The following is a 19,781-nucleotide window of genomic DNA, read 5'->3' on the forward strand; positions in this document are numbered from 1 at the left end:
CGCGTGCAGGTGCTGTCCGTGCCCCACCGCCGCCTGGTGTGCTGCAGCCGGCTCTTCGAGGTGACGGATGTGAACAAGCTGCAGAAGCAGGCAGCGCATCAGAGGGAGGTGTTCCTCTTCAATGACCTGCTGGTGGTGAGTGGCCTCCGCTCCGGGACTGGGCTGGGCTGGGGCTGCCTCTGCCGCCCTGGTCAGCCTGGGCAGGGTCCCTGAAGTGGGCAGGAAAGGACGCCCAGAGCTTTCAGACAGAATGCCTGTTCCGTGGGACGGATCTGCCTTCATGGTGCTTTCACACCGTGGGCGTGAGGGGGCTCAGGCAGACATGCTAATTCCTACCTCATAAGTCATGACACCGAGACGTCAGATGATCTGCTCGTGGTTGCACAAACTGTTAACGAACTAGTTCCCAGACCACTGGCCTCTCCACGTTACAGGAAGCCCAGGACAGGGAGTGCACAGGGCTGTGCCTCAGACCCCAGGGCCTGGGAGGAGCAGGGCCTAGGCGGAGCATGCTCTGTCCCTGGGCCTAGGCGAGGCTGGTGTGTGTGTGTGCGTGCACACACATACACACATCTGTACCCACAGATACTTTTTTTGCTCTTTGAAAAGAAGTATCCATTCAACAAATATTTGATCAGCGTTGACCATGTGCCAGGCATCATTGTAGGTCTGGAAAACTGGTGAGCAGGACTGGAGCAGGGCTTGTGTCTCCCTCGCACCGGCCCTCTCTATCCATGAGCCACGTTGGCACTGCCTCCAAAGTGATCACAAGCCTGAACCACCTCTCACCACCTCCACTACTACAGTCTTAGTGCACGCCTGGTACATTCAGTGAACCACATCAGCCTCCACACGGCTCTCCCCACCCCCCTGAGAGCAGCAGCGTGATCTCTCTGGAGTGCACATCAGGCCACGTGTCCCCTTTCCCTAACCTGCCTCCCCGCCCTCTCCTCAGCCCTGGGAGGCGCCTCCCTCCTGTGGGCCAGGCCTTTGTACTTGCTGCTCCTTCTTGCAAAGCTCCTCCAGACCTTGCACTCTCCTCTTGCCTTCCTGGCCTCCTCCTTTTCATTCAAGTCTCAAATCACTTTTGATTCCTTACCCTGTTTCATTTTCTTCAAAACACGTAGCACTTTGGTTTTGTTTTTTTGCTGTTATGCTTTATTGTTTGATCACCTGATGGACACTGTGACACTCCACATTCCATAAGCACCTTAAGGGCAGGGGCTCTGTCCTGAGTTCTCCTGTATCTCCAGGGCTCAGCTCACAGAAGCTGCTGAATAGAAATTTGTTTATTAAGCAACCAGATGACTTTACTAAAACGAGCTTTCATTTTAGTAGGGGAGGGAGATAGAAAATAATTAAGAAACAGACAAACAAGATAATATCAGATTGGGGGAAGGCACTATGAAGGCCACAAACCAGGTGATAGTACAGAGAGTGACTGGAGTTAAGGGCCAGGTTTGGGCTTGCTTTGGTTTGTTTTTTAGAGGAGGTGATCCAGGAAGGCATCTCTAAGGAGGTAGCATTTGAGACTTAAGTAATGAGAGTAATGCAGCCGTGCAAAAAGCTGCCGGGAGAGCTGTGGAGTGGGAACAGTGTATGCGAGGGGCCCACAGTGGAACTGAGCTTGCCCTTCTCAAGCTACAGCAGGGAGGACACTTGGGCAGAAGGCCAGAGTAAGGCAAGGACCACATCAGGTGGGTTTTACAGGCCAGCTCAGGCGCCGTGGCTTGGCTTCTAAGTACAGAGGGAATAACCACTGTAGGGTTTTGTGCAGTGAAGAAGCACATTTTGGGATAGTGTGTGCACATATATGTATATCTGTACCTGTATGTGCACATTCATCACTGCGTGGGTTTGTGTGATCGTGCATCCCCCGGGTGTTTGTGCATCCATGTGTCCGTGAGTGTCTGTTCATCAGGGCATGCCTGTTTCCCTCTCCTGAACAGATTCTCAAACTTTGCCCGAAGAAGAAGAGCTCCTCCACGTACACCTTTTGCAAGTCAGTTGGCCTGCTGGGCATGCAGTTCCAGCTCTTTGAGAACGAGTGTAAGTCTTTGACAGCCAGTGTAAGTCTTTGAGAAGGAATGAATGGATGAAATGGCTGGGGCGAGTTGAGGGAGAAGGGCTGGACAGCAGAGTGGGTGGAGGCATGAGACCCCGTGCCCTCCTCATGTCTGGCTGGCTCTGGCCCTCGGCTGCTGCTGCTCACAGCCCACTGGGGGCCTGGGGTCTGCTTTCCAGATTACTCTCATGGCATCACACTGGTGACCCCGCTCTCGGGCTCCGAGAAGAAGCAGGTGCTGCATTTCTGTGCCCTGGGCTCGGACGAGATGCAGAAGTTCGTGGAGGACCTGAAGGAGTCCATTGCTGAGGTGACGGAGCTGGAGCAGATCCGAATAGAGTGTAAGGACACGGGCTCCCGAGGCAGCTGGTGGGGGTTCCCATTCAGCAAGGGACAGGGGCAGCTTGAGACAGACATGCCTGACTCCAGGGAGCTGGCCCCACTTCGGACCCTCCCCGTGTCCAGGCCCCACCGCACCACACTCCCACAGCCCGGGTGGGAGCACCGGTTCCCATGTTTCTTCACAATTAAAGTGAGGCTTGCTAGAGTGCACACACGTGTGTACACAGATCAGCAGGCATGTGGGGCTGCGCGTGGGCCTCTTGGAACAGAGAGCTCTGCTGTTTTACCAGGATGACCAAGCGAGCTGGCCAGGCAGGCCCATGGGGCTCTGGTGCGTTCCTTCCCACCAAACCGTCTGCTGTCACCTCCCCCACTGTGGCCCAAGTCTGTACACTGCATCTGGTTGGCCTCATTTCTTCACTCTCTTTTAATCTTGAATCATCCCTCCACTTCATTTTTTTTAAAACATTGTCCTTTTGAAGAGTCTAGGCTGCCTTCTTACTATCCCGCATCTTACAGTAGTCTCTGTTCCTATAAGGAATGCTTAGATTCTAGATTGTTCCATTCAGGCATTTTAGAGAATATGTGGGTCTCTTTCTGTGTCCAGGTGGTTTACTGGCTGCTGTGGGGTTAAGGGAAGAGAGGCAAGGGCCTGCAACCTGTACCCATCTGCAAGCTTGTCCTGATTAAGCATCACGGAGGCGCCAGATAGCCTTTAAGGGAAGACTAAATAAGAACAGATTCAGAAACTGAAACAGAAAATGAAAATAGGCTTCAGGCCTGCCTCTATGGCCACTTAGTTATAAAGTGTTTCTGAACTAATATCTGTCCATTAGGCGCTAGGAAAGGCAGGGAGAGTTTTTGAGCAGGGGATGAATGTGACAGGCTGGTGCTTTTGAATCATCATTTTTGAGGCTCCTACTACACACTAAGCAGTTTATTTCTGTTGTGTGGATCCTCACAGTGACGCTGCAAGGTAGGTGCATTGACCCCACTCTGCAGCTGAGGCTCGGAGTTCAGCCGCGTGTCCAGGTCGCGCATGTTAGAAACTGTCATTTTCATTTACGTTTGATTCTATACTTTCCACTGGAGAGTGAGAGAAGAGGTTCTGTTTATTTTTTTCTAAGGAAACAATTTAAACCAGGGTAAAATGGGATCCATCGGACTGGACTCTGGAACTCAGGTAACTGCTTGGTGGGGAGGGGCGCGTGGAAACTCCCTTCCTTCAATCTGTTGGCTTATTTGAGTTCAGTGGTGAAACAAACAGATTCTTTTCAAGGGCTGGACCGGATCCCCAGAGAGGCCGCCTCTGCTGTTTTTCTGGAGCATTTTCAAGGAAGCACCTTGAAATGGCTTCACGTCTCTCATTGTCTAACTGTCCCAGATGGCTCCGCACTGCCCTGGGGGGCCGTAGCACACCAAGTGGCACCAGCATTGCTGGGAGAGGCACTTTCCCCCATCAGCCCAGGAGCAGCACATACCCCGCTTCCCAAAGTCACAGAGGAGCAGATAGCGTCAGAATCTGTCATGTCAGGAGGTGAATATCCTCTCCTGCTGCCTCAAGGGTAAAAGAGCAGGAAGAAAGGCTCATGCTTGGCCCTTAGTCTTCACTGGAGAGAAAGGGAAGGAACAGCTGAGGGAAGAGGAAGGGTAGGCCAGGGAGACAGGGAGGAAAGGAAGCCAGGAAAAAAAAAAAAAAGAAAATGGGCTGGGCTCAGTGGCTCACACCTGTAATCCTAGCACTCTGGGAAGCTCAGGAGGGAGGATTGCTTGAGCCCAGAAGCTCAAGAACAGCCAACACAGCGAGTCCTCGTCTCTACAAAAAAGAAAAGAAAATGGAAAACAGTATCAGCTACCATTTATTGAGGACTAATCCTCACAACAGCTTTCCACAGTGGGCATCATTTTACAAGTAAGGAAACAGGCTAAAAGCACTTAGGGAAGTTGTCCAAGTTCACAGTCAGTGACAAAACAAGGTTTGCATCCAATGGCCCAGGACTCCTCACTTGTAATTATCAGGCTAATTTCTCCAAAGCCAAGAGAGCCCCTCTGTGGGGAGAGAAACAACTCTCAGTTGAGTAGAAATATTTAGCATTGATCGATGGGATGGTGTGATTTAGGCAACCAGGACAAATTGTTCTGGTTTGGGGGCCTACGGTTCAGTGTCCCTGGTTTCTAGACAACCAGAGAGACTGAAAATGGAGCCCAGGAGAGTAGCTTTAATAAAAGGAACTTGAGTTATGTCTCCTGGAAAAGAGAAGCGGGAGGAGTGATTTAATAATCATGTCAAATCTCCAAGGATGGCAGCCGGCAGTTCTGTAGCTCCACTGAGAGAAGAACAAGAAGGAACAGGTTTCCAATCCAGTGAGAGGAATTAAAGTTGAGTACCTAGACAGATGTCCTAGCACTGCAGGCTTGTAGCTTCCACACCCTCGGTGTGGACTTTCCTCCTTGGGAGAGATTTGAACACCTTGCGGAGGCTCAGCTGGCCAGGCAGGCTCTGTCCTCCCAGGCAGGCTCCGTCCTCCCAGGCGCCGGGTGGAGAGGTGGGTGTCACCCCTGTCAGCAGGCTCTGCTGTGCCAAGTGCGTTTCACACAATGTAACAAAACTGATACAGGTTGGTGCTAAAGTAATTGCGGTTTTTGCCATTACTTTCGCACAAACCTTAATACTTAAGGAGTACAGGTCACTAGCCAGGCCTTGTGCTTTATGTGTATCTCCCACGCAGTCCTCTTAATGACACCGTGAAGTGGGCCTGGCTGTCCTCTCGAGTGAGGCATGGAGAGGTTGGGTAACTTGCCTAAAACCACACAGCCAGGGAGTGTCAGGACCAGGACCCAAACCCAGGCAGTTCACCTCCCTCACATCGGCCTCTTCTGTGCCTCTCTGACGTTCAAGCAGATAGGATCATCCCCATGTACAGATGACGAAACTGCGGCTCCGAGGGGGTATTTAACTTGCTATTCAGTGGTGGGGCCAGACCCGAGGTCCGTGTTTCACAGCATGTACTGGGACCTCTCCTCCTCTTCCTCCCCTTTCTGCTGGCCCCTCATTTCCTGCCTCGCCTCTGTGTGGTTGAGGTTAAGGTTTCTCTTGCTCACGGGCCTCTGCATTCCTTAGGGGAGCTGGAGAAGCAGCAGGGAACAAAGACACTCTCCTTCAAGCCCTGCGGAGCCCAGGGGGACCCACAGTCAAAGCAAGGATCGCCGACAGGTGAGCCTCGGCTCCGCTCAGGGCACCAGTCCCCATGGAGGCCACTCGGGGACCCTGGGTGTGGGTCCTGGGCAATCTGCAGGGAGAGGTGCCCATTCCCGTGGCGTGTTTCTTCCTGCTGAGGAGCGCCAGGCTTGCCTTCTTTAATCTCATGAGCTTTAGTGGTGGGAGTGAGGAGGAAGGCGAGAGAGAAATGTGTCTGTCCATTTTGCAAACTGCACCAGAGGTCTGGAGTCCGTGTGAGATGTCACTGTCTGCCCTGGAGGAGTCAGGCAAGAGTCCTGGCATCCTGGCCCCTGCAGGGAGGCCTTCCCTCCTGCAGCCAGGCTGTCTGGACGAGGCGAGGTCAAGAGAAGCCCCACGAGGAACACTCTCCAACCAGGCAGTGTAAGAGGGCAGGGTGACCAGAAGGATCTGGATCTTGCTCTTCTCTGTACAGTCCCTTCTCTAATGAGCCACAAGCACTTCCTGACCCCTGGCTCAGGTCAGCCCACCCCAAATCCAGAGAGACCCTCAAACTCCACTTCTCTAGTGGTTTCTCCAGTGGAATTGCTCACTCCAGCCGAGTCACACTGGCTCCAGAGCTGGCCCCTCCTTTGGCCTGCCCCAACCTTACCCCACCTGCAGGGGGCCAGGAAAGGTTTCCACCACCTCCCTCCACCAGCCCCAAATAAAGAGCATGAGGGGAGATGCATGAGAATTCAGTCTCATCCCAGTGAAATCCCAGCAAGCCATTCACAACTGTCCACCCATTAGTTAACTCGGTCACTTACTCTCACACTCAACAAACACTTCTCGAATGGCTGCTGCCCTGTGCAGAACACTGGAAAGCCAGGGTCATAGTGAGACGCCAGCTTGAGCTGAGAAGCTCCAGTGGGCCCCGTGTGGTCCATGACCCGCCACAGTCGGCCCTGAGTCCTGACTTGGAACAGGCAGCAGCGTGGGGACTAGTTACGGCAGCGAGGACATGAGATTCACTTTCCAAGCAGGACATGGGGCTCTTTTCGCTATGTGGAGATTCTGTGATGGAATCTTTCCTGTATGGGTTTGACCTGCCATCGTGCGTCCGTAATTCTCCACGCTGCCTGATCTCCACTGGCCTCTTCATTTCTATAAGGTCATAGGGCACGGGTTGCTGCTTTTGTTTTCTCAGCTGTGGAACCCCAGAGCCAGCCCTCAGCTGTGTGTCATTCCCTGCCATTCCTTCCTGCCTCTCTTTTGGAAGCTGCCCGCCCTGGTTAGGCCCAGATGCCTGTCCCCAGGGACGTGTCCCTTAGTCCCCTCCACAGCGGGGTCTTTCTCATTCCCAAACAATGGTGCAGCTCCCTCTCCTGCTGCAGGAAGCAGAGGGCTGAGCACAGCAGGGGGAAGCTGGCACCCCCAGGGGTTGGGAAATGAGAGGGGCTCCTGCGGGGGTCGGGGTGGAAGCTGGGAGTGACTCAGCCACAAAGAGCCAATGAGCTGTCCGTGGGGGTCCGCAGGGCCCCTGCTGCTGTGCCAGGCCGGCCAGAAGGCCCTCAGAGTAATTACAGAGCAGTTATCGGCTCTCACCGTGCCCGGCACTGCGGTGAGTGCTGTGCAGGCCTCAGCCCATTCAGTCCTGCCCCCTCAGCCAGTCTGCAGGGCTGGAGCAAAGAAGCGTGGCCCACGCTCAAGGAGCCTGTGATCCACGGAGGCTGATGAACGTGGCGCCCACAACCCAGGCCCCCTCCAAGCCTTTTACAGTTCGTACTGGGAAGGCTTTGACTGTGGGTAAATCAGATTCCACAATGCCAACATCAGAAAGAGCGGCAGCGATCTTCTAGTCTGCGGCAGCCCAGAGAGATGTAGCATCTCGCCCAGGTCACATAGCTCCTAAGTGGCAGAGTGGGGCTCCCAACCTCCGCCTCAGTGAGGAGCAGTGTGACCCCAAGTCTTAGCTGCAGAGATGCTTGAGGGGCACAGGGGAGGGGCAGGGGCTTGGCTCAGCCGGTGGAGAATGAGCCCTGTGCTCTTTGCATTCAAAGCCAAAAGGGAAGCCGCGCTCAGGGAGAGGCCGGCGGAGAGCACGGTGGAGGTAAGTGGAGCCCTGGTTGCCCAGGTGAGTGACTACCCTGCCCCCTTGTTCTTCTTCTCACCGTCTCTGTTGTTTCTCTTCTCAGGTATTAATCAATGCCTCCCCAGCCCGACTCACCATTTTACCAATTTCAAGAGATACAATTAAAAGTTACTGCTAGCATGGGTAATGCCACTGTTCCAGCGCCTAATTAAGCCACGAGCTCTTTCTCCCCTTTCCCCAGCCTGCTGCCCTCCGAGGCCGAGCTCCCAGACTAACACAGTGGAGACGGAGCTCACGGCACCCTAGGGCCATCCTTCCTGTGTGCCCCCAAATCCACCTCCCCAGCAAATGCTCACTGCTCACTGCTCCCCCAGTACTTGCTGTATCAGAAGACCCCACATCCCGTTCCCCAAGTCCTCCCACCATCCATAGCGGGGAGCCTGGGCTCCCTCGGAGAATTACCCCTTAGGCCCCAAACGATCACTTCTGGGGCAGACCCTGCCCTCTTGGACACCTGGGGCTAGGTTGGAGAATTGAGACTTGGGGGCAGGTGGGAGGGGGAACTCCTCCCCGGAACAACTGGTCCATCTGGAAAGCTGGCCATGGCGCAGGGATGTGTGTGCAAAAGAAAATGAGACAGAGTAGGGTGGGGCTGTCCTGAGGGCTGTCCTGGGGGAAGTGATAAGCTGAAGACTGTCTGTGGTGGAGGGGAGGCTGCCCATTTGGCTCCATGCCATACAGTGAGGGACTGCAGAAGACCCAGCAGCAGCTGGTCCCTGCCAAACCCCCCCAGTGCCACCTATGGGAGGAGTGTGCAGGTGCCCCTACAAGCCTCGTGAGCCCCACCCCTCTCCCACTGGGTCCTCTTGCACCCCAGTGAGTCCCAGCTCCACTCCTTTTCTGCCCGGCCTCCCGGGGCCACCGGCTGCTCATACAGACACCTCCCTTCGCAACCCTAACCTCGACCCGGAGGGGCCCCCATTAGGTGTCTTAGGAAGCTGCCCTACCCATCAGTCTGACTAAGCCCTGGGAAGCAGCAGGATACCCCGGGGGAGCTCAGTGTCTTCTCTCTCCCCCATGGCCCCCCACCCCCCACACACCCGTGTCTGGAGGAGGCACCTTTACAAGGAGGAGCTTCCTGCCCCAGCCGCTGACAAGCCCCCAGGGTGGGTATTCTATTCCCCGCCCCCCTCCACTCCCCATCCTCCACAGCTGCCCATTCTTGAGCCTTGCAGATAAGCACACCCGTGCCCAGCCCTCTGTTCTGTTCTGCCAGCCCTGCCCTGCCCTGCCCTAGCCTGAGCTACCCAGGGAGGACAACCAACCCCACGCACTCCTCCCTCCTGCCCTAACAGCATATGGCTATCTGCAAGGCTGCCACCCTCAGCTAGCTCAGGGCCCTGCCAGCCTCTGCTCTCCCACGCAGAGGGCAGCCTCGCCTCCCACGGCCTCAGCTGGACCCCAGGCTCTCTCTCCTCTGCCCTCTCTCTGCCGTTGCTGGCCAAGCCCCTCTGGCAGGTGCTTCTCCATCTTCTCTGAGCTGTTCTCTGACCTGCTGCTCATGTTCCATCCTCTGTCTCCCCACTCCCCTCATTCTTTCTTTCATGAGCAGGGAGGTGAGAAGGGGGTCAGATGAGAGGACATTTTGCTGTCACTTCCTGCTTTTCACTTACTGACCACTAAAGAGGAAGGATCCAGAGACTGCGGTGGGGCCAGGGATGCAGTGGGGGGACCAGAGCAGGGGAGGTAAACGGGAGGCGCAGGCTGTGGCCCAGAGGGGGCGCGGCACGGGGAGCTTCAGGGAGAAGAAGGACGGCTCAGTGGGTCTGGACTGGGACAGCCAGACATTCGCCTGGGGAGAGGCCGCTGCGAAGTCCAGGCGGAGGGAGGCAGATGAGCACAAGCCCGTCCTGGCTGTCTCAGGCCCCGTGTCTCCTGGGGAGGAATTCAGAATACAAGCAGGAGGGGAGAGGAGCCCGTGCCCTCCAGCGGCTTCTGCCTGAGTGAGGGTCCTGGAGGGATCCCCAGAGGCAGGTGGGCCCCAGCCATGCTCTCTGCCTGCCATGTCTTGGAAGGACAGTGAGGGGCTCAGGGCACCTTCGTTTGTTTAGGGAGACCTCAGGCCTGGAACATGTGCTGAGGTTGGAGGCTGAGAAGGAAAAATAAAGCCCGTGACATGCCGAGTGTGGCAGTGGGGCTCATGAATACTGAGGGGCAGACAAAGGCCTGCGGAGCCTCGGGAGGGAAGTTGCCCCCTGGGAGTGCACAGGTCCGGGAAAGGGTGTCCCTGAACTGCACCTGCAGCCAACAAACAGGATGAGGAAATGCTAGTTTAGGGCTCCGGGATAGTTCTGGGCTGGGCCAGCTGGGTCTAGGCCTGGGATGAGGTACCTCCCCTGCAGCTTCCCTTTCCCTCTGTGCTCTGAGCACTGGCCCCAGGTGGTGCTGCCCGAGGACAGATGTCAGCCCAATAGAAAGATCCTCAGAGAGGAGGAGGGTCTCAGCCTCCCCTAGAAGACCCAGGGGTTTGGAGGGGGTTGGGTGGTGTCATAGCCACGGGCAGGGGAGCTTGCGGGTGGAACGGTGTGAGGAGTTAAATCCCTCTCCTTCCAGAATCCTCTAGCCTCCCTTCCACCCATCTCCTCCACCTCCCGCTGGTAGCAAGGGGAGGCCAGGCTAGTCCATAGTGACCTCCATGGTCTGAGGGAGGGGGCTCATGAGCATCATCTGGGCCACCTCCTCCTGCCCCGCCTTGGGGATCAAGGTTAGAGCCCTCTCTGGGGATCCTCTCCTGCAGCCAGGCAAGTTAACCAGGACCCAGCTTGGGCCAGAATGGCAGCTGGGGAGCTGACTCTGCCCTCGGCTGTCTGGGCTGTTCTCGAACGCAGGGTCATGGCCGTGGGGAGTCTGGGAGGACAGGTAGGTCCAGATCACCCTCTGGCATTCTGGGGTTTAAGCCTCTATGAGGTCGACGGTGCCAATGATCCTTCCTCTATAACAAGGCTGGAGGGAACAGAGGGAAAGGCTCAATAACGCTTGGCTCTGTCCCTGGGTCTGCCCTCCTTTGCCTCAGCACACTCCTGGGAGGGGCAAAGACTATAACCCCTGCTTTCAAGCTCAGAGTGTGGTGGAAAAGGAAGTGAGGACACCCAGCAGGTCCATGAAATCAGGCAGCAGATGTATGCAGAGCCCATCTCACAGATGAAGAGACTGAGGCCGTACAGCGACACTGCTCACAGTCAGTGGCAGAACATGCCAGCCTCTCGACTCCTCTCTCCCCCCTGGGCAAAAGCCAGGGTCGCAACCCAGTCTTCTTGTGGGTGGAGAGATGGCGAGAGGGTCAGAGTGAGGGCTGAGAGTGGGAGGGAGGCCAGGGGAGGCACAGGGCAGCCTGTCCTAGCAGCTGGGAATTAGTCTTGTAACATTTCATGCTTCTCTGGCTGTTTCTAAACTAGGTGTCAATTCACAACAGGCTTCAAACGTCCCAGCACAACTCCGGGCTGGGGGCCGAGAGGGGAGCGCCGGTGCCGCCGCCAGACCTGCAGCCTAGCCCCCCGAGACAGCAGACCCCACCACTGCCGCCGCCGCCACCCACGCCCCCGGGCACCCTGGTGCAGTGCCAGCAAATTGTCAAGGTCATTGTCCTGGACAAGCCCTGCCTGGCCCGCATGGAGCCCCTGCTGAGCCAGGCTCTCTCCTGCTACACCTCGTCGTCCTCTGACTCCTGCGGCTCCACACCCCTGGGCGGTCCCGGCTCTCCGGTCAAGGTCACCCACCAGCCTCCGCTGCCCCCGCCCCCACCCCCCTACAACCACCCTCACCAGTTCTGTCCCCCAGGCTCCCTGCTGCACGGGCACCGCTACTCCAGTGGCTCAAGGAGCCTGGTGTAGACTCTGCCCCACCACCCTGCTGTCCTGGGAGGGCTGGCCACTGGGGGGCCTGGGCTGCCCCTCCACTGCTCCCCATACCCTGGCACGATGCGTTCCTGGTCACTGATCACCATCATTTTGGGAAGAGAATCCCAATCCCTGGCACCTGGGTTTGCCTCATCCAACCATCCTTCCCTTTCTCAGCTGCACCCCCTCTGCAGATCTGAAGACACACCTCACTCTCCCAGGGCCCTACACAGCCAGACCCGGCGAGGCCTCCTCTTCCCCTGGCCACCACTTTCCCCCATTGGACCATGGACTGAAGAAAACGAGCTGAGGGTCTAACGAGCTTGCAGGCTTTGAGTCTGTTAGTGCCCGGGGCCTCGGGCCTTGGGCAGCAGCATGAGGCTGGGCCGGCCGGCAGTGGAGCACTAGACAGAGTGGCTGGCTCGCAGCCCAGAACTAGTGCCTCTGTAGCTGCACTGAGGGGAGGAGGGTTGGTCCCACCCCTGGAGGGACAGGTGGGAGGAGTGAGGAGGGGGCTTTTTCTGCCACCCCCGCCCCCAAGCCTGAAACTCTCAGGAGTCTACTTCTTGGTCCCCAGGGACATTGGCTGTCCTGACCATGTCCTTCCCCCTCCTCCCAGGGCCTCTGCTTCCTCAGGAGCTGCCCAGACTCCAGAAAAGCCTGGAAAAAGGGAGGCGGGAAGGGGAGCACTTTCGGCTTTCTATAGGTCAGTCCAGCAGGGCCACGGGATCGCGAGGTCATGTATCTGCAAAATGCACCTTTTTAAAGAGTGTCTTAGTTCCCCAGCCCCAGCTAATACCCGGCCAATGCCGTGTACGCACCGGCATGTGCACGCAAACACGCATGAGAACCAGGCCATTCCTTCCGCTGTGGAAGCAGAACTGGAGACGGGGCAGGAATGTGCCCAGCAGAGATGGGGCTCAGCCCGAGGCAGGGCTCCCTCCTGCATGAGGCTCGGCCCGAGGCAGGGCTCCCTCCTGCATGAGTCTGTGGCCTCCAGGAGGGACTTGGGTGCAGATGTAAGCAAGAAAAACCGGGGCTCCAGAGGCATGTGCATTTCCCCTGCGCCCCTCAGCCTTTAAATATTCCCTCCTCCTAGAAGGTTCTAGACCCCCCCCTTCCAGCAGGGGTGCCCAAGAGTCCCTGGACCCTCAAAATTGCAAAGGAGACCCAAGCGGGGCTCGCTGACCTCCCAGGGCCCAGCAAGATGGGATAGCCAGCCTTAGGTGGCCCCACGAGCCCAAGCCTGGGGAAGGGCCCCTCCCCAGCCAGACGAGAGGCAGCCACCCCAGAGACCACAGGAGCCGTACCATGGCCTGCGCAGTCAGGCCCTATCAGGATGTGTCTGTCCCAAGCCTGGCCAGGCTCCAGTCCTGTGCCAGTAGCTCACTGCTGTCCTATGTGCAGGTCCCCCAACACTTGGAGCCTGTGGTTAAGGCCTCCTGGGAGAGGCAGTGAGCATGAGTCAAAGGTGACATGGACTTGAATCTCCCCACCCCGCCCCGCCTGCAGTAGCCGGGCCAGGTAGGAGGCAAGGATCATTCCCTGCTCCCAGAGGTTCCAGATGACCTAGTTTCGTTTTGTGTGTGTGTGTGTGTGGTCACCCAGACGTCACTGTGATATCACCTAGTGAATCTATTTCTGGCCCTGTCTTCGTCGGCCCAGTTTCTGTAACTTGCAGCCAATTTGCCCTCTCCCCTGTGGCTGCCAGCCCATCTGCCCCTCTGTGTCCTTGCTGCCCTGGCCCTCCTCTGTTTTCTGTAACAGATGCTCCAGTCATTGCCTTTCAGAGTGGAGCAGATGACAGATGGGGTGCACGCATTCAGACACCTCTGATGCCCTTAGCCAGGGCAGGGATCGTCCTTAAAGTGAAGGCCTGGACAGGAGGAGTCAGGGACTTGGGAGGAGGTGGAGCTGTGGGGATGGGAGTGGAGGAATCAAAATGAGGGAAGCTGAAAATAGAATGAAAACGATGACTAAGAGGCAGGGAGTGCGAGGTATGGGGGAATAGGAACTATGAGCTAAATATACTTATGGGGTGGGGGCCGTGGGGGCCAGGGACACTCTCCCAGACAGCCCTGACCCGCCAGGCAGGACCCCGTCCCCTGCTCACACAGCTCTTCAAACTTACCAAGGACAGGCAGGACCCCGTCCCCTGCTCACACAGCTCTTCAAGCTTACCAAGGACAGGCAGAACCCCGTCCCCTGCTCACACAGCTCTTCAAGCTTACCAAGGACAGGCAGGACCCCGTCCCCTGCTCACACAGCTCTTCAAACTTACCAAGTGCCCTCTCCCCTGTTGAGGGCACAGCAACCCCAGGCCCTCCCTCCCACCTCAGCTGAAGCCCCAATCTTCCAAATCGGAACCAGCAAGTCTTAGGGCTGGCACGCATCTGGGCCTCTAGCTGAGAACCCGGACTCTCAGGCACCTCAGTGCCCCTGCCCCAGGGCAGAGGCCCACCCCGTGGGTTGGTGCAGTGGCTGCCCTGGGCTCCACGGGCAGCACAGGGAGTCTGTCCAGGAAGCAGCCCAGCCGGGGTCAGTATTCCGTGGAGCCAGTCCTGAGCTGGGAGGGGCATTTAACACCCCTGAGGGCCTGGGGCAGGACACAGCTGGCCCTCCTCATTGTCAGGGGAAGCAAGTGCCCAACATCTGTAACCTCCCTTCCCTGCTCAGTCCCCAGGCCAAGGTTGGGACCCCTCTCCATCCCTGTCCCCAGAGCCTAGACCTCAGGGACCTAGGAAAAGCCTCCTGCTCCCTCCCCACGGCAGCAGACAGGGCAGGGCCTCCAGCCCCCAGAGGGCCGGTGGGGGGTGCTCTCGGGCCTTCCTGCTCTCCTAAGGTTGCGGGGACAGTAGAGTGCTGAGCCCCAGACCCAGTCACCCCAAGATGGCCCCACTCTATCCACTCTCTAGACCTTTGGGAAATCTGGGTCCCTCTCCTGATTTGATCCATTCGGCCCCAACTCCAGAGTCGGGAATGGGAGATGAAACTAGTTTTCCACCCACTTTTGGACAAGTCCCACCCCTAGATCTGAAGCAAGCTCTACCAGCAGCGTGTCCTGGAAGCCTGCCTGCCTGCCTGCCCGTCTGCACAGGTGTCTTGATCCAGCCCTGCGTCTTCGAGCCCCTGTGCCACCGGTCCCCACGGCCCGCCAGGAGTCTCTTTGTACCCACTAGGCTTCCCTGATGACCATCTGTCTGTCCGTCCCTGTTTTTGCTGTACATAACTCCTGCTGCACCCTCTCCCCGCACACCCGTCACCCATGAGAGAGAGAAACCTCTCTAGGGAAAGGCAGGGTGGCTGCACCCAGCAACTAATCCAAATGGCAAATATTTTGTAACAAAATAGCCCAGAGGTATTTTATCTGTTCAATTCATAGAGTTTTAGAGATTATATTGAAAGATGTCACTTGAGCAAACTGTGTCGGCGCAGCTTCTTTTGCTCTCCCAGCGGGGGGGGCTCGCCTTAAATCAGAGCATCTCTTGGTGAGGATTTGAGAAGGACACCGATGCCCTCAGCCCCTCAGGCTTCTCTCCCCTGGCCACAGCAGCACCATTCCTTTACCCCAGGATAATGCACTCATGTCCCATGGTTAGGAACCCCTGTCTTCAATAAAGGAGACTCGGGTGTGGGAAGATAAGGTAAGTCTTCTGATGGGTGAGCACTGGCAGAGCTGGGGGCAGGGCTAGGAAACTGATCACCGTGTGTGTGGGCCTGACCCGCTAACACATGCATACACCCCCCTCACTCCACCTTCCTGAGCACACACACATACAGCTTTCAGCCAGTCCAGAAAGCAGCTACAATGGAGACCAAAGGCAGCTGTGGAGGGAGGAGGCTCCACGACAGTCAGTGCACCTCCAGGGGGAGATGAGGACCACCTCTGGCCTGCTTGGCTTTCTGCAATGAAGAGTGAGGGTTTGTCAGGGTGCGGGGGAGGACATCCCACTGGCCATGCCAGGCATCAGCTCCCAAAGCCTGACCTCAGTGGCAGGGTCTGGTTTGTCCAGCCCCTGGGTCCAACCTTTCTGAAATGCAGGAGCCATGGGGCCCGTGAAAGGACTGGAGGAGGATTGTTGGGGACAGTGCACAAAGCCACAGAGAGCAATTCAGCAAACATATCCTGAGCCCCACAGTGTGCCAGGTCCCCTACTGGGAGCCAGAAGGGATGCCAAGGTTCTGGGAAGCATATGGATATGACAGTAGCCGAGTGGCTGTAAGGAAGCAGGGAAGGCTGGAATGAGGACTGGGAGAGCGGCAGGAGCTCAGCCAGGTGTTCACAGCCAGGTGCAGTGCTCAGCTCGGCTCCATGGGGGCTTAAGATGGGGTGGTTCTCCTGGCTGGGGAGAGAGGAGAGAGCCTTCCAGCAATGCTGAGTCATCAGAGGAGAGCAATTGGCTGCCCCAGGACACTCGCAGAGAGGGCGCCCAGCTCTCCTGGTGACCAGAATTCTGAACACCTGGAAATCCCAGCAGCTTCAGCACCTTCCCAGGCTGGTTCCTGTTGTTCCCAACAGCTAAAGGGAAAGGAAACTTGACCTCACCCTCAACTTGACCTCACCCTCTTCCCAGGAAATGGGAAATTCCAGAATAAGCTGGAAGCCGGCTATGACCTGTCCCATCCTGGGAATTCTCTGACCTGGGAAGCTGAGGACTGGCCCCTTGAGAGCACTCTGCGGGGAACCAGCTCAGCCCGGGCCTGGGAGAGAGCCAAGGGCCAAGGACGGCCCTGCTGCTATCTGTGCCAGATGCGGGCCCATGGCACCATTCTCCACACCTCGGGCCCCTGAGGTCATCTAGGATGAATGCTTGTCCCTCCAGTGAGAGGGAGACCATCCTGTTCTGATAGAGCCCGTCTGGTGGTCCAGGCCCCTCTGTGCCTATCTGCCGTAGGGATGGAGAGCTACAGTCCGTGCATCTCCCTCCATAATGACCCTTTGTAGATGGGAGAATGTCAGACTCATCAGTCATAGACTTAGAATGCTCCCAGTAAGGGGTCCCAGGATGTACTGGTTTCTGGCTGAGAGCAGTGACCCAGAGCTAGTGCTGGAAATCAGGGTGAACTGAACCGTAAGTTTGAGACCACCTGCTGAGCACTGTTTCAGGTGCTGGGGGCTATGCAGTGAAGGGGACAGGGAAAGTTCACACTGGGGGGTGTCATCAACAAGAAATGGAGCAGCTGCCTTCACACAGAGGATGGTGACCCCGCTGGGGTGATGGGGAGAGCCTGTTTTAGGGTGAACATTCAAGGAAGGCCTCTCCAAGGAGGAGAATTCAACAAGGTCAAGGTCTGGTCTGAGGGCAGGTGAACAGTTCGGAGACCATCACTTCAAGTCAAATGACCACATATTTATGAGGCAGAAACCAAGACAGTTTGTCAAAAAACTGTTTCCTGATATATGTGTTTACTTACATGAAAAAATCTTATGAATTAAGTGTAAACATGAATTCAAAACATCTTTACTGAGGAAAGCAAAATTGGTCTTCTAGCAAATCCAGGGCAGACGGTCACCAGTCACAGGCCAGGAGAGGAAGTGCTTGAGAGTGAGCAGTCAGGCGCTCTGGACAGGCAAGGATGGGGCCGGGGGTGGGGCAGAGCTTAGGCCACGTGGGCAGCCACCACCACAGGAAGACCAGGCCACCGAAGTAGACCGCAGAAAGCACAAACCAGCAACAGTGAAGTCAGGCTACCCTGAGCCGAGGCAGCTGCTGCCCAGAGCAAGCACGTGCTTGTGTGACCCTGCATAGGGATGGGGAGCAGCCCACTCCAGGTCAAGGCAGCCTGCTGTCCACCTCCTCCTCTGTCACCTCAAACCAAGAGGGCTCAGGTTTGCCATTTTCAAATTTTTCCTGTATTTATGTTTCAAAGAAGGGGCCTTGGTCTGTCGCCCAGGCTGGAGTGCACTGGTACGATCACAGCTTACTGCAGCCTGCAACTCCTGGGCTGAAAGGACCCTGCCGCCTCAGCCTCCCAAGTAGCCCAGACTACAGGTGCATGTCGCCACGCCCTGCTGATTTTTAAATTACTATTATTATTTTTGTAGAGATGAGGGTCTCTCTCCAGCCTGGCCAACATGGTGAAACCCCGTCTCTACTAAAAATGCAAAAATTAGCCAGGCATGGTGGCGTGAGCCCATAATCACAGCTACTTGGGAGGCTGAGGCATGAGAATCGCTTGAACTTGGGGGGCGGAGGTTGCAGTGACCCGGAATCATGCCACTGCACTGCAGCCTGGGCGACAGAGCGAGACTCTGTCTCAAAATAAATAAATAAATAAAATAAAAAGACAGGCTGTCTCTCTATATTGCCCAGGTTAGTCTTGAATTCCTGGGTTCAAGGGATCCTGTCTCCTCAGCCTCCCCAGTAAACTGAGACTGCAGGTGTGCACCACTATGCCTGAATAATTTTTGTTTGTCTTTGTAGAGACGGAGTCTCACTACGTTGCCCAGGCTGGTCTCAAACTCCTGGCCTCAAGGGATCCACCCACCTCGGCCTAGGCTTGCCATTTTTAAATAATGGAATGGACTCCATGGCCTATTGCACAGCAGTCCCAAGGAGTCCAGGGGCTAACAGCCTTTCACGTCTCAGCGTGAACCCCACAGAACGGAAGTGAGATTGATTTCTCCTTCAGGGGGCTGGCACTACATGGCTGCGGCCCTCGGCATGCCCCCTCCCATCCCAGCTCTGACAGATGTGGCCAATTGATCACTGCTTTCTGGGAGTCACCATCAATCACATGTGCTGACTCCAGGATGAAAGAACTTGCCAACCGCCCCGTGGTGTCCTCATGGAGACACCTGGAAGGAAGGCATTTTGACGGGAGGTAGCTTAGAGCAGGGGGCAGCAGGCGGGAGGTGTGGCCCTCCTAGTGCCACTGCTCTCAGGTCACTTGCGGACAGCAGCTCTGGGGGTGCTGGCTTTGGCTCCTTAGCTCTGCCGCTCAGGGACTCAGGGCTGCTTCCTGCCAGGACTCCTCACTACTCAGCAACCGGTCGACTACCCTGTGCACCAGGTCCCCTCACTCACCTTCCTCGGGGTGAGCCACATGGCCCCCGGTGTCACAGATGAAGGTCTGAAGACGCCCAGGCAAGAAGGACGCTCCGTCCAGGGCGGAGCCTTGGGAGCAAAGGCAGACCCCGTGGAGGGCAAGGGAGGTGGTCCTTCCAGGAGAACGTGAGGCCCAGCCAGCGCCCAGCGGCCTGGAGCCGCAGGCTGAGTTCTGATCTGCTCCCCTTCCCGTCCCAGGACGGCAGCCAGGCCCCAAGATAGACCAAGCCCAGGTCAGAGTCAGGGAGGTTAAATGAGGGCGCAGGAATGGGGGGTGCAGAGGGACAGGTCCAGAAGTGGTTCTGCCAGAATTCCCTTCTGGATGGGCTGGAGGAGAGGGAGCTGGAGCTCAGCGGGTGGGCGGAGTGCTCTCCTCCCCTGCGCCCTCCCTCCCGTGCCCCTGCAGGGCTGCACGGGTTCCCTCCCTAGGGAACCAGGCTGCCTAACCCACCAGCCGGCCCCTAGCACCTCAGCGCTTCCTGCTCCCATGACCCTAAGGACTAAGTGACCTCAAGCCTGGCTCTGGGAAAACTGTGGGAACCGGCTGCTGGGAAGACGACCTGGCTGTTACTCCCACGTTTCCAACTGCCTAGACAGACCTGCCCTGCCCTCCTTTCCTCAAGAAACCCTAATCCCCTTTCCTTCTGAGACATCTAGGGTAGGAGTCAGCCTCCCTCCCTGCACCCTCAGAGGGAATGGAAGGCAGGGGAGTCATACAGCAGTGCCAGGCCTGCAGGCTGAGTCACAGGCCAGTCATCCTTCTATGGCTAAGGGGACTACTTCACTTAAGAGGTTAAAAAAGAAGAACAGAATAAGCCCAAAGGAAAGAAACAATAAAGACAAAAGCAGAAGTAATAAAATAGAAAATATATATACAATAGAAAAGATTAACACAACCAAAAGTTAGTTCTAAGAAATGACTAATAAAGTTGACAAACCTCTGATAAGACTGATCACGAAGAAGAGAGACGGCACAAATGAATAACCTGAGGACCAACAGGGAGAACGTAACTATGAATGCTGCAGAGATTTTCAAAATAAAATACTTCAAATAAACTATAAACCTATGGCAATAATTTTGAAACCCTCCACAAAATGAACACTGTGCTAGAAAAATATCTTACCAAATCTTGCTCAAGAACAAACAGAAAATTTGGGATGTATAACCATTAAATTA

At 56.3% G+C, this 19,781-nt stretch overlaps 1 protein-coding gene and 1 long non-coding RNA gene across 9 annotated transcripts in view, besides 6 other annotated features; one reads left to right on the forward strand and one right to left on the reverse strand.

Moving 5' to 3' along the window:
• IQSEC3 (IQ motif and Sec7 domain ArfGEF 3) overlaps nucleotides 1–14,971 on the forward strand; it is a 111,689-nt gene extending 96,718 nt beyond the window's left edge. For 2 of the 7 annotated variants that reach the window (NM_001170738.2, XM_011520961.2), the window contains 6 exons: nucleotides 10–135; nucleotides 1,950–2,049; nucleotides 2,245–2,406; nucleotides 5,529–5,621; nucleotides 7,628–7,677; nucleotides 11,115–14,971. In NM_001170738.2, the coding sequence (NP_001164209.1) occupies nucleotides 10–135; nucleotides 1,950–2,049; nucleotides 2,245–2,406; nucleotides 5,529–5,621; nucleotides 7,628–7,677; nucleotides 11,115–11,549 (966 nt within the window). In that variant the 3' untranslated portion in view covers nucleotides 11,550–14,971. Of the gene's footprint in view, nucleotides 1–9; nucleotides 136–1,949; nucleotides 2,050–2,244; nucleotides 2,407–5,528; nucleotides 5,622–7,627; nucleotides 7,678–7,762; nucleotides 7,847–11,114 lie in introns of those variants that run through there. The other 5 variants (XM_011520960.2, XM_011520958.3, XM_017019311.2 and 2 more) reach the window with 5 other exon arrangements.
• On the reverse strand, nucleotides 1,136–18,924 carry IQSEC3-AS1 (IQSEC3 antisense RNA 1). Of its 2 annotated transcripts, NR_183431.1 has the most exons (3): nucleotides 18,584–18,924; nucleotides 1,828–4,223; nucleotides 1,136–1,273 (listed from the first exon to the last, which is right to left on the reverse strand). It is a non-coding gene; the product is annotated as an IQSEC3 antisense RNA 1 (long non-coding RNA). The 2 variants fall into 2 exon arrangements; NR_183430.1 differs by having other exon boundaries at nucleotides 1,136–4,223.
• Nucleotides 4,854–5,327: a silencer, noted in NCBI's record as "fragment chr12:277504-277977 (GRCh37/hg19 assembly coordinates)". NCBI's record gives its function as "represses an EF-1alpha promoter that drives an FKBP-Casp9 reporter gene in an ReSE screen in HepG2 liver carcinoma cells {active_cell/tissue: HepG2}" and the evidence as "EXISTENCE:reporter gene assay evidence [ECO:0000049][PMID:32094911]".
• Nucleotides 9,355–9,880: an enhancer, noted in NCBI's record as "H3K4me1 hESC enhancer chr12:282005-282530 (GRCh37/hg19 assembly coordinates)". NCBI's record gives its function as "activates a minimal SCP1, AML or CMV promoter by ChIP-STARR-seq in naive H9 embryonic stem cells {active_cell/tissue: H9 hESC(naive)}" and the evidence as "EXISTENCE:reporter gene assay evidence [ECO:0000049][PMID:30033119]".
• Nucleotides 9,881–10,407: an enhancer, noted in NCBI's record as "H3K27ac-H3K4me1 hESC enhancer chr12:282531-283057 (GRCh37/hg19 assembly coordinates)". NCBI's record gives its function as "activates a minimal SCP1, AML or CMV promoter by ChIP-STARR-seq in naive H9 embryonic stem cells {active_cell/tissue: H9 hESC(naive)}" and the evidence as "EXISTENCE:reporter gene assay evidence [ECO:0000049][PMID:30033119]".
• Nucleotides 10,408–10,933: an enhancer, noted in NCBI's record as "H3K27ac-H3K4me1 hESC enhancer chr12:283058-283583 (GRCh37/hg19 assembly coordinates)". NCBI's record gives its function as "activates a minimal SCP1, AML or CMV promoter by ChIP-STARR-seq in primed H9 embryonic stem cells {active_cell/tissue: H9 hESC(primed)}" and the evidence as "EXISTENCE:reporter gene assay evidence [ECO:0000049][PMID:30033119]".
• Nucleotides 15,336–15,878: an enhancer, noted in NCBI's record as "H3K4me1 hESC enhancer chr12:287986-288528 (GRCh37/hg19 assembly coordinates)". NCBI's record gives its function as "activates a minimal SCP1, AML or CMV promoter by ChIP-STARR-seq in primed H9 embryonic stem cells {active_cell/tissue: H9 hESC(primed)}" and the evidence as "EXISTENCE:reporter gene assay evidence [ECO:0000049][PMID:30033119]".
• Nucleotides 18,503–19,004: an enhancer, noted in NCBI's record as "H3K4me1 hESC enhancer chr12:291153-291654 (GRCh37/hg19 assembly coordinates)". NCBI's record gives its function as "activates a minimal SCP1, AML or CMV promoter by ChIP-STARR-seq in naive H9 embryonic stem cells {active_cell/tissue: H9 hESC(naive)}" and the evidence as "EXISTENCE:reporter gene assay evidence [ECO:0000049][PMID:30033119]".

This window comes from Homo sapiens, chromosome 12, assembly GCF_000001405.40.
Source record: "Homo sapiens chromosome 12, GRCh38.p14 Primary Assembly".
NCBI lineage: Eukaryota > Metazoa > Chordata > Mammalia > Primates > Hominidae > Homo > Homo sapiens.